This window comes from Homo sapiens, chromosome 7, assembly GCF_000001405.40.
Source record: "Homo sapiens chromosome 7, GRCh38.p14 Primary Assembly".
In the NCBI taxonomy this organism is placed as follows: domain Eukaryota; kingdom Metazoa; phylum Chordata; class Mammalia; order Primates; family Hominidae; genus Homo; species Homo sapiens.
Genome location: NC_000007.14, coordinates 14,260,688 through 14,273,745, shown reverse-complemented (window position 1 = coordinate 14,273,745; position 13,058 = coordinate 14,260,688). Strand labels below are relative to the sequence as shown.

Sequence of the window (13,058 nt, the reverse complement as noted above, 5' to 3'; positions counted from 1 at the left end):
TGTATAGTTTTAGAAGACACCTTTTCAAAAGAAAAATGAGCTTAGCCAGTGGAGATACAGCCAGTATTTGTATGTAGAGTTGTCATTCAGTTAAAATCTATTTTCTGAACCTTATCACGTGAAAATTTACCATTCAACTAATATCCCAAATTATTCTCAAAACTAGCACTTCTGCCTTGTGTCAATACAACAATGTAATAAATCAGAAAGCCCACAGTACTTGATATAAATATCTTGGCTCTGACTATAGAACAATGACCCTGAATCCATAAACTACATATGTACATCATTTCATATCTTTACTGTTACATCTGAAATGAGATTGCCAAACATATTATCATGTATCCTGTTTCAGACCTTTCTTTTCTTTCTTTCTTTTTATGTATTTTTTATTTTTTATAAGATAGGGTCTAGCTCTGTCACCCAAGCTGCAGTGCAGTGGTACGATCATGGCTCACTACAACCTCCACCTCCTGGGCTTAAGCAATCCTCCCACCTCAGCCTCCTGAGTAGCTGGGACTACGGGATTGCCCCACCATGCCCAGCTAATTTTTTGTATTTTTTGTAGAGTTGGGGTTTCACCATATTGCCCACGCTGGTTTCAAACTCCTGAACTCAAGCCATCCACCTGCCTCCACCTCCCAAAGTGCTGGAATTACAGGCATGAGTCACCATGCTAGACCCCACTGTGATCTTTCTAATGAATTCAGAACTAATAGTGTAACAAACACATTTGGTCACATTGTCTTCATTTCCTGGTCCGGGTATATCAGATATTATTAGGTGCATCCTTTCACTCAACTATTCCATGTATTCCCCCAAATAGATTCTCTAGTCTCAACATGCAAACCTACACATTTTATATCTTTTTTTTCCTTTCAAACTCATTATTCAGAAAGAATTTGCAATTGAAACTTATCTTTCACTTAAGGATGGTAGGGCAACAGCCATTTCTGCAAGATAAGTGAAATTGCTAAATAGTTAAAAACCAACAATATGCATTAAGATCATCTCCTAGTTCTTACGGGATTCACTTTTTTATGTATGTCTCATAGACACTAATGGGTCTATGAGAAAATGTTTTCAGTCATGTAGGACATCTGCTTTAAGCAAAAAAAGTAGAGTGACCATAGATACAGTTAAGGAGGTGCTAACAGTATGGCAGATAAAGATAACTACTGTGCAATGAATCTTGAAGTCATTATGTGCATAGCTTCTTCAAAGATATAAATCTCAATAGAAAAATGGTTGGAAAATAGGTTTTTCTGAACTAAATCTTCAATTTTTTATAGTTTATGCCACCTATAAAGATTTATAAAATGCATTTCTTTTTTATCATATGAGATTTTTCTTCAAACCTATAATTTTACGTATATGTATTGCTAATAATGATGCCTGGCATTTGTGTAGAATTTTTCAAAAAGAGTGTTAGTACCAAGAATCTATGAACAAACACCTTGCCTACCTGACTGGGGATGCTAAAAGATTTTACATGTTTTATATTGTCTTAAATTGACACACCATTAACTTACCTAGTTCTTCAAATAAATACACTGTCATCTTGCATTGTTTATGAAAAATAGCATATAAATAACAGTTGGTTAGCATGAAGTGTTCAGTTTTTAATCTCATTTTGCCTTGCACATCAGATTATTAAGTTGTATATGCATATATGGTACTGTATGGTTATCTACTGGTTTTAAATCAAAATATCAAGGAAAGGAGACAATAGAAGATATGCAAATATAGTGCTAACATGGTACAATTATTGTGTGAATGATCTTTCAATACCCAAGTTAGTAATAGCACAGGAATATCAGTTTTACTGTCTTTATCCTCATTAGCAAAATGTTGGGTTTTGTTCTAAAGAAGAAACATAATTCAGCTAGGTTTTGGAAAATCACGCTTTGCCTGTACCCTCGCCCCCTTGGCACCAGCACACACAAAAGGATACTGGTAAAACCAATTTATTGGGAGCTATTTTCTTTTTCCCGTCTAAGTCCCAACTAAAAGCTTTTGTGTTTGGGGCATTTAAGCTGAGAATACCTTTTTTGTAGTGCTCTCTTTCAGAGCACTCAGTTCATGTGCTTTGCCATTATTTTAGAATGGTAATGCTTTCCTTTTAAATGATGCTTCCCTTGCCCCTCAAAGGCTCCATTGTCTGCCTGGGATCCTAAGTTTGGTTGCTTTCAGCCCCTGATAAATTAGTAATGGAACAGAATCAGGAGGCTTTGCGGCCTCTGTGCCCTGTTATTAAATTGTGTTTGGTGCTAAAATGTATGTGTACACCACAGCCTGTGTAATGACAGGTAACTGTTTGACTAATTGGCTCAGGCTCAATAGAATCACAGGGCCACAGGGACCTTTAAGATGCTTTGGTCTAATCATCTCATATTTTTAAGGAAGACTGAGGCCTTGGATGTTCAAAGACACGTACATGATCATAAAAATAGTGAGCAACACAGTTTGGACCACTATATATTCTGCTTCTCATGTTATCTCTCTTTGAATGGAAGTTCAGATTTCTGTTAAAATACAAGGGAAAGTGAACTTAAATTTGGCCACATTTTATTGAAAAAGATATGAGTCTTATAAAAATATGTGATTCAAGTCAGTTTAAAAAAATTGCCCTGTAAACGATTTCTGTTATTATTTACTCATAAGACAGCTTGTATTTCTGTAGAACTCTGTTCTCCCCAAAATCATCCTTCTAGGCTTGTACCTGTATTGTAACAGTTAACACGTTAGTAGTTCTGTAAGATGGGAAAGAAGATATTATTATCTGTGATTTACTTAGTTTTAATCTGGACTCCAGTAACCATATGTTTAAGTTTTCTCTCTTCTTGAAAAATCACTTTCTACATCATATTTTACTTGTTTGCTTGAATACCTAACCCTTCTACCCCACCCCCCTACAGAAAGCTTTCGAAGGCAGGAAATCTCCTTAAGCAACTTTCAAGACCCGCAAATTCCAGCACAGGGCTTCACAGGCAATAGGCCTTCAGGACATCTATTTAGTAAATGAGCAAATGAGTTTCTGTTTGACAGATGAGAAAATATTTCTTATGTATATGTTTTCTTAAGATCATCAATTAGAAAAGAGAACCAAAATATAGTTTTTAACTTATGCACCTATTTATTTATCATTGCACCACATGGACAAAGACTCAGATTGCCTGTACTACCAATAACTGACATTTGAAAGGAATGAATGTGACCACAGCCCTTCCTGAAAAGGAAGTGCTTTGTAAACCCCGTGCCCCTGTCTACCCCATCTAGAGCTGATTGGTTGATAGGATAAGAGGGACCCTGACCCACATTACACACTACAGACCATAGGCTGACCAGTGACTTAGAAGCTAACAACAAGGTATAAAGAGAGGCAAGAGAGGCTAAGAAGGTTCATATGCCAGCTAACATTGTGACAGAGCAGAAACTATGAGTAAGCAGAGGAAATTGGTTAGGAGAAAGAAGAGAACGCAGCATATGTGCACTAAAAATGGAGATGCCTCGAGAAACGGAGAGCATAGCCTATGAGAGAGAAACTGAGTAACCTAAGGCTAGAACTGCATCACTTTTGACAATTTTACTTTTCTGTTTCTACTACCATCTTACATGCACATTATATATAAAACTCCCTTATCGTGAAGTGCATTCAGGAATCTCTCTCTTTTTTTTTTTTTTTTTTTTTTTTTTTGCAAAAAAAGCCTTATAATAAACTTAGTGAATGGCACAGGAATCAATGACCCTCAATTGAGAAAGGTCAGTACATTTTAATCTTGCCAAGGTACCTACTTATTAATTCCTTGTCTTAATTTTATGAAGTGTTACAGGCTTTTAATACAGATAATTGAATATTTGCCACATATTTAAAGAAACTGTGTTATAAAGTCTTCTCTGTGTAGTTGATTTTAAGATTTATTTTGGACTAAAATCATATTACAATATTCCTCAGGAGTGAAAATAAAATTTCCCTAACAAATAAAATAAAGAAGATATACAGATTGAATTGAAATAGGAAGTTTCTAAATCCATGAACTGCAATTCCATTCTGGTTGTTTTCAGCCTTGCACTATTTCTCCTGATCTAGCTATCGTCTTGACCTATAATGGTCCCGCTCTGCCAGAATATAAGGTTGCATTCTGAGAAGATATATTTGATTCTTGTAAGACTCAGAGGTGGAGTCAGGGAAATAGTGAATTCAGATAAATGTAAGAATATAGCCTTCAAAATATATACTAACCGTGGCTCATAGCAGCAAAATGTTCACTAGTTACACTGTCACCTCTAATTCAGAACCAAACAGACCATTTAAGTTGATTCTTGGCAAGTCTTTAAACCTACTTGTGGTGGTTCTAAAATTTGTCCAGAGATTCTTTGATGCTGCTTCCATTAAGTGGTGGAGCTTAATTTCCCTCTCCTGGAGTGTGGGGTGGACGCAGTGGCTCACTGCTAATGAACAGAATAAAGCACAAGTGTTAGTGTGTGATTGCAGAAACTAGGTCGTAAAAATCACTGCAGCTTCCTCCTTTCTTCCTAACTGTGCACTCTGGGTAAAGCCAGCTGCCATGTCATAAGGAGATCAAGCAGCTCCACAGAAAAGTCAGCATGGCAAGGAGCTAAGGCTTTCTGCCGATAGCCTCTGAGGGACTGAGGCCTCCAGCCAACAGCCACGCAAATGAGCCATCATGGAATCAGATCAGCCCAAGTTAAACCTTCAGCTTCTTGGTGATGGCTTACCTGAATCATCATGACAGACTCAGTCAGAGTCACCTGGCCCTGAATCCTTGACCCACAGAAACTGTGAGCTAATAAATGTGTGTTGTTTTGAGCTGCTAAACAAAAAGGTAACTTATTATTCACAATAGATAACCAATACACTGCTCTTACATATTACAGAGACACTATCAAAGCCAAAATTAATGTTTTGCTATTCACATTATTTTTAATAACTCTTAATCAGAAGTGATACATAAAATGTCCAGTATATGTTCTAAATAAGTTATGCTTTGTAGGAGTTAAATAGATTAAATTGCTAAGCCAACATAAGATATACCTGCTTCCTTAAAGGAAAGGCAAAATTTCCCCGAAACTGAATGCTAGGAATCCCCAAAGAATCTACATCTTCTAACATATTTCTTTTATTCATTTCTTAAATTGCACTAATCTCATTTTTAAATCTTAGAAAAAAACAAATGAAAGAAGAATTTCTCATGTGCTTTTACATTGTTATTCTGAGAACTCTTTGGGTACCTCTTCCTGCTGAATTCTAAATCAATAACCTTGCATATGCTTGAAGTATCTCCATGTATTTATATAGGTATATCTGGATACTAAAATACGTATGTTGTTTTTCATTCCATGTTTTATTTATTTATTTATTGCTGTTGTAGATTAATTCCTCTTCAGAGCAGCTGCCTGTGGGTGGTGGGTGAATCTCACAGCATCCTTATAAAATGTCTTATAATCTGGTGATGTGAGAGAAATATTTGAAGAGAGGCAGTGTGTGTGTGTGGTGTGTGTGTGTGTGTGTGGTACAGTGACTATGGGTGTGTGTGATTTTAATGTTTAAGATAAAGGTTTTTAAATCTAGAGGTCATGTAGTTCTATATAGTGGTTAGATCAGTGAGCTAGATAGTAAGCTAGCAGACTTGACTCATCTCCAAAACGAATATAGAAACTGGATAATACTTGGCTGGCAAAATCCTGATTTTTTCATTAACCATGGAATTATAGACTTAATAGTTTCAATATTTCTTTGTACCCTTGTGAGTAATTTTATGGTATTTGGATATTTATCTTGTTGTAACCTAGTTAGTAGAATTGTTCTAAAATAGTTTGATGAAAAAGAATCATAAAATGGGGTGTCACCTCAGATATTCATGCCATTTACCCTATGTTCTAGTTATCTATATTTATATAACAAATCCCTTGAAATTTAGTGACTTAAAACAATAGGCCGGGAACGGTGGCTCACGCCTGTAATCCCAGCACTTTGGGAGGCCGAGGTGGGTGGATCACGAGGTCAGGAGATCGAGACCATCCTGGCTAACACGGTAAAACCCCGTCTCTGCTAAAAAATACAAAAAATTAGCTGGGCATGGTGGCACATGCCTGTAGTCCCAGCTACTCGGGAGGCTGAGGCAGGAGAATGTCATGAACCCAGGAGGTGGAGCTTGCAGTGAGCCGAGATGGCACCACTGCACTCCAGCCTGGGCAACAGAGCCAGACTCCGTCTCAAAAAAAATAAATAATAAAAAAAAAAAGAAAAAAAAAATAAGCACTTATTACAACTCATGGTTTTCTGGGCCAGCAATTGGGCTAGTCATCTTTCTGCTCTACGTGGCATGACAAGATCACTTGGCATCTTAGCACAGGTCTGAAAGGCTGAGTTCACCTAGGTCCACCTTCTTCTTCATGTAGATTCAGGGCCTCTTCACATGATTTTTGTAGCTGAATAGCTAGTTGAATTTCTTACACAGTTTCTCAGGGCTCCAAGACCAAGTGTTGAGATAGGAGGTGGAGGCCGCCACTCTCCTAAGATCTGGCCCAGAAATTGGCATTTGTCTTCTGTTTTTTTCTTTTGGTCAAAGCAGTCATAGAATCTTCTAAGACTTGATAGAAAAAACATCAAAAAACTTGTGGCATTTTTAATCTGTCACACCATAGAATACACACAAAGACATGTATTCATTCACAAACATCTTTCACGTATCATAGACATCTCTAGGGGGAAACCAACTTGTTCATTATCTATATTACAAAACAAATTGGCTTTAAAATATAAGGTAATGTTTAGATGACAAAGAAATTAAAACAAAAAACCTGTTACAGTTATGTACATCAGTCTGCTTAAGTATTAACGTATTTTAACATAGTGATGATCATTAATATCAAAGAAATTGGTTACAGAATGATCACCTTATAAGGTTATATTAAAATAAACAGTATTGTCTATTTAGTTAAACAATTGTATATTCCTTTGTGTATTAAAAGCAACTGAACCATTAAAGCAATCAAAGGGTTAAAGAGACATAAATTGATAGAGTGGAATGACAAAATGTTGTCATTTTATTTTGAGTGTTGTTGGATAAATAATGGTAGGTGTATTTTGGTACGTTGGTATTTAGAATCTCAATAGAAATACTTAAAAGGTCAAAAACACAGATGCCTCTTTACCTGTAACAGCAAAAATGACATCATCTCTAGCCTTTATAACTATAAACATTTTTCAGAGACAGCAATTTATGGATGCTCTTCTAAGAATTAGTCAATATATTAGCTTTCTTTAAAACATACAGCTGCAGCAGTAAGCCACATATATTTTATTTGGCCTTGCAAATTTTCTGTTGAGTTCTAGGAGCTGTGGATTTTTGAGATATTTGGCTCAAACTCAAAATGAAAAAATCATTTTAAAAAATAGAAATGCATTTCATTCTTTAAAAATGCTAAAAATATATGATGCAAAATGTCATAGTTTGGCTGTAATAGCAAAATTCTTAGAATCAATCAGTCAAAAATAACTGTGTTATTTAGGCGCAATTTGAAGGCATACAAACTAAAAACAGTATTTTAAAACCAGCTATAAGAGCTTGATGGCTTCTCTACACACTGATAGCTATTTGCCTTATAAAAATAACAATTGAACGAGCACAGGGAACAGGCCGCCACAGAAAAGGTTGCCTTTTATGTAGCACTAACATGCACTCAGTAGCATTTACCGACTTAGTCTGGGGCAGGGGCAAGAGGATGCTTCAAAAACAAAATAGGCTACCCTCTTTCGCCACTGTTCTTACTATATAACCCCCTTGCAGTAAAGATAAGAAACAAACTAAAATTCACATAAACACCCCAATTTGGAAATTGTTTTATATATGTTTACTTTGCCAGAATAAGCATGGTATTTGGAAAAAAGTACACAAGTACTTGGCCCAATCATCTATTCATTTTTAATTCATTCATTTAAAATATATTGATAAAGAACCTCCTATGTGCCAGATACTGTTGTCAACCATGAGGGTATATTGAAAAACAGACACAGTTCTTGCCTTCAATATTCTGAGAATCTAAGGGAAAGGCAGATATGAACAGGTAGTTATACCATAGCTTAAAAAAATGTAATTATTAGAGCAAGGATGAGATACTATGGAATATATGAAGAAGTCATCTAACTCGGTCTTAGAGAAGTGGGTAAAGGTTTTCCAAAAGAAGTACCAGAAGGGCATGTGGGAATTAGCCTGGCCAAGGAAGGGATGTAGAAGACACAATAGAAAGAAGATAATATGAAACTGTCACAGGATTAGGGGGAAATGTGCTAGCTGGAGCAATTAGCACAGTACGGGAGAGTAGCAGAAAAGCATGGCTAGTTAATGTTAAGATGGGTAATATCTGAATGAGACTACTAAGCAAAAAAAAAAAAAAAAAAAAGAATGCAAGAGAAAAGACAGCAGTCCAAATTGAGAAAGTGTATGCTAACCAGTAGGATCAGAGAAGTAAGCCCGAGCCAAACCCTGAAGCCCTCTGTATGAAACTGAAAAATATTGTTTAGTGTTTAGTGAGTGTCTCTGAATGTTTTAGACTTGTTTTTAGGTGAAAAAAAAAAAAATGATCTCCGGATTGGAGACAGGAAGATTAAGATGCTGTTGCATAAATTTGGGTGGGGCGGGGACAGAAACCTGAAAAAAGAAGTCCCTCCAGCTTTTACTGACAGTCTACTTAAAGTCCTTACAGATTCTGCCAGTGTCCATCACAAAGCAAATGCCATATATTTTTTATTTATGTTACAGCAAAGCCCTACTTCTGGTAAAGTCTTTGTTTCAGTTATTTATTACTGTATGACAACCCTTCACACATTTTAGTAGTTTAAAACAACAACCCCCATTTTTCTCATGATTTTGTGCATTTATTGGGCCAAATTTGGCAGCTTTTCTGCTTCTAGTGATGTTGGCTGTGGCTGTGGTTATCTGGGTGCACAAATGGGCTGAAATATCCAAGATGTCTCATCTACATAGCTGCCACCTATACTGGGATGCTTGCACACCTTGACCTCTCTTTCTTTCTGTGTTGTCTCAGGGACTATCATTCTCCACATGACTTCTCTAAAAGGCACTGTGTAGAACAGCCAGACTTCTTATATGGCAACTCATAGATCTAAAAATTGCAAAAATAGAAGTTGCTTGACTTTCTTAAGGTTTAGGCCCTGTTCATTAATAATCTCTAGTACTCATGAGTGGAGCCTCTACTGTGGGTGAGATATTTAATTATGGTCAGGACTTAACAATATTCTCTTAGGACCTCTGCCTAAAAAAACAAAGCAACAGAGGCATGCCTATGTGTGTCACAATCAGGCTACTGAGGTCCCCAGAAGCGGTTGTTTTCATTTGTCTTTAGGGCCTATTTAATATAGAAATCAGGGCCAACCTGAAAGCGTGTGGTTTGGCTATTTCAGATAAATTTCTGATAAAAATGCATTAATCCTAAGAAGAGCTGTGAATTATCTTTTCCTGTTTCTCTGCTTCACCTGGATATGTCATCATACAATAAAGAACAGAACATATAACAGTCAATCCACTGTCATCTACCAATGTCTATTTCATACCATTAAGTCCCTCATCTTACTACTGGCAATTCATGATGAATCTGATTTGATCACATGGAGCTCTGTGACTCTACCTGTTGGAAGTCCTGGATACATTTCAAAAATAGAACTGCACTCCCTCTACAAACTTCAAACCACAGAGGCTCTCCCTATTACAAAAATCTTGATATTTCCGCAAAAGATTTTTTTCTAAATGCCAGGACTCTGCTCATACAGAAGCCTTGCTATACATTAAGAATAAATAATCAGCATTACTTGGAGACTTAACTCTCATGTTTCAGTGTAAACCTCCAGTGTGTGAAGTGGCATATAACATAAAGGATTCCTTTAGCCAAAGAGACAAATACAATAAAAAATGATTTGCCTAAGGGATAAAGAAACCTCAAGTAGCAATTCTTAGGACAGTGGAGTTCTCAGATTAGGAAGATCTTGCCTTTAACTTTATGAATCTACAATGTTCTCAAAAATGATCATTTCTCAACCTTGGTTCTGAGGAGTCCTCAAGAGCAAGAAAGAATGTTGCTCTTCTGAAGGTGGCCACCATAAATTAGGGAGATTTTTGGAAAAGGTAATATCTGAACTGATTCCTAACAGATATGCAGGATTTAGCCATGCATAGCATGTAAGGAGAGCATGTCATGTACAGAAACCCAGAGGCAAAAGAGAAAATGGCATACTTCAGGAATAGCAATCTAAAAGTTGGCTGGAAAATGAGTTGTGGGTTGGGGCAAAATTGCAATAGATGAGCTTAGGGAGATAAATAGGTTTTAAAAAGCAAAGGTTCATCTCATCATTATGTATCCACCAAAATATTTTAAAGAGAGCTATAGCTATAGTGTATTAGAAATACTAGCCTGAAAGGAAACTGTAAGACAATACAATGAAAAAGGTGATGACAATCGTAGTAATACTACCTGCTGTTGTAGGGTTGCAAACTCACAGTTTACTCGGGCACATAGAAAACGGTTTATGTTATCAATAATTAATCTAGTTGAATTTACCTCCATTTGCTGAGTAGTGGGGAAGAAAAACAAGATATAGTCCTACCTACTTTAAAACATGTTTATTCCAATTCTTAATGAATCCCTTTACATAATGCATAGTATTTCTAAGATAGAATGTGCAGCCCTTCAGGATGTTAACTACCCATCTTAGTCCTCAGATTCCTTCCAAGGAAGGAAGGAATCTTCCTTGATGTGTAATGGGAGAATTGTGGCCCAAGCTACCTCTTGGTGGGAATGATTTGTTTAATAAAACGTCTTCTGATTTTCTTGGTTCCCTGGGCAATGACCCTTGTTCAGTTTACTGCTGCTGGCCCAGTTAGTGTTCTAAGCTGCAGTCTGATTCTACTTTAAAGTGGTCTGATTAGTTGGAGCTGGTTTGGCCCTAATTCTGAGTTTATCATTCCACATGCACTCCCTATCTTGCCCCTTCATCCTCTTGGACTGGCCTTTGCAATAGCCCTGAGAAAGATGCCTGGCTCTGAGCTCAGAAATCTTCCAAGCTATTCTTCTAGGAACAGTAACTACATTTGGGTCCCATCTGTGTCAGTTTGTTTAGGCTGCTGTAACAAAATATCACATACTGGGTGGCTTTTAAACAGCATAATTTATTTCTCACAGTTCTGGAGGCTGGAAAGTCTGAGAACAAGGCCCAGGCAGATTCAATGTCTGAAGAGGACCTGTGCTCTCACTCTCACTCAGACACAGCTTCTTTTCATTGTGTCCTCACAAAGTAGAAGGGGCAAGCAAGGTCCCCTGGGTGTCTCTTATAAAAAAATTAATCTCTTTTATGGAAGTCCTACCCTCATGACCTAATTACCTCCTAAAGGCACCACCTCTTAATGCTATCACATTTAACATATGAATTTTGAGGGGACATAAACATTCAAACCACAGTACCATCCATTCTACAACGTAAATTCTACGTGGGCTCAATTATGCTAAACTCTTTCTACCCAAGACCATTGGACTACTGGGTTTCCTTTTTTAGGCTGCAAATTCAACTGATACGTCATTATCTTGGAAGCTCCTATATTCCAGAGGACCCCTCTGCCTTACTTATACTTTCTCCTAACCTAAGACAAGATAGGATAAATACATCTTCTTGATTATTCACCACACAACCCAGGATTCATTCAAAGTCTTCTGCAGTGCGTATAGCACATTTCACTATGCATAATCGTATTATCATGACTTGCTGTTAAGGTATTTAATTGAGGAGTTGTACATGGAAGAATTTATTTCTGCTTTGTGTTCTTAATGACATTTAATGCCAATTGCTTTCCAAGAAAAATATGGAATGTAAGCTTTTGGAATATTGTGTCTAGTCGTAAAAGAATCAGGCTGACAGATTAAAATATTGAATTCTACCATATAAAATTCAAAAATATCACCAGATTATTTTACCTCTGTTAAAACGTCACAAATTATATCTATATAAACTATGTTTTTGTTTCTTTCCTATATCCATTTTAAGCAAGAAAGTGCTGCTCAATCTTATTTTATATTTAGTCATGTATAGACTATATATTGAATGGATTATGGATTAATTGAATCCAAATATAATATCTAGTTTTTCCCCTAATTGAGGATATCAAGTCAATCACTGGAAAGGCAAAAATATCAACTTTAGGTGTTTTTGTTGAATAAATGTGTCTAAAAGTTCTGTTCCTCACTCATCCTTCACTGTACAGTATATGATATCTAAAGTTTACAGACGGAGAATATTGTATTTGCTTGGAATGATCTATGCCAACACTTAGGTATTTCTGCATAAAAATATGAAGAGGCCACCTATACATTATTAAAATCATTGATTTAAAAACAACAAATTCAGCCTAAAACACTAGTTATTTTATTTCTATGATACAAAACATTTATAGTTTGGCTTTTTTTTTTTCACTGAAATGACAGATTTTTCCCACCGTAATATTTGTCTAAATTATTTTGGTAGTGGGCAACCCAACATGTTGAAAAAGAGACTGAAAACAATTGCCTGCATAATTTAGACCGGTTAAAATATCATTAAGAAAATCTAGCAATTGCCCAATTAATTTTTTTATGTTTTCTTATATTCTCCATATTGTAAATACTACCATTCTGGATAGGGTTTGTCATTTATTCAGCTAATTTGATCAAGTGAGCTACTAGACACACTTAGTGAATAAAATCTCAGGCGTGTTTTGGTTTTAAGTGATTTTCATGACTCTTTGATTTCGTTAAATGTATAACCAATCATAATCCACTTTACTTTGTACTGTGTAGACAAAATCTTCATGAGCAATGAATTAGCTTTTTGTAGATGTAAAACAAGTTTTAATTATAACCTTACCTGATATAAATGTTAACATTTTGGTGAGCAGCAACATTTACTAAAAATAAAATGTTACTATTATCCCACGGTATTAAGTAGCTCTACTTAAACCAAAAGGGTTGCTAAAATTAACTAAAAGTGCCTT

The 13,058-nt window shown here is 36.2% G+C and overlaps 1 protein-coding gene across 21 annotated transcripts in view, besides 2 other annotated features; it reads left to right on the top strand.

Annotated features, from left to right (window-relative positions):
* Positions 1–13,058, top strand: part of DGKB (diacylglycerol kinase beta) — an 829,810-nt gene that overhangs the window by 701,113 nt on the left and 115,639 nt on the right. The window lies entirely within an intron of this gene.
* Positions 4,157–4,656: an enhancer, noted in NCBI's record as "H3K27ac hESC enhancer chr7:14308715-14309214 (GRCh37/hg19 assembly coordinates)". NCBI's record gives its function as "activates a minimal SCP1, AML or CMV promoter by ChIP-STARR-seq in naive H9 embryonic stem cells {active_cell/tissue: H9 hESC(naive)}" and the evidence as "EXISTENCE:reporter gene assay evidence [ECO:0000049][PMID:30033119]".
* Positions 4,657–5,158: an enhancer, noted in NCBI's record as "H3K27ac hESC enhancer chr7:14308213-14308714 (GRCh37/hg19 assembly coordinates)". NCBI's record gives its function as "activates a minimal SCP1, AML or CMV promoter by ChIP-STARR-seq in naive H9 embryonic stem cells {active_cell/tissue: H9 hESC(naive)}" and the evidence as "EXISTENCE:reporter gene assay evidence [ECO:0000049][PMID:30033119]".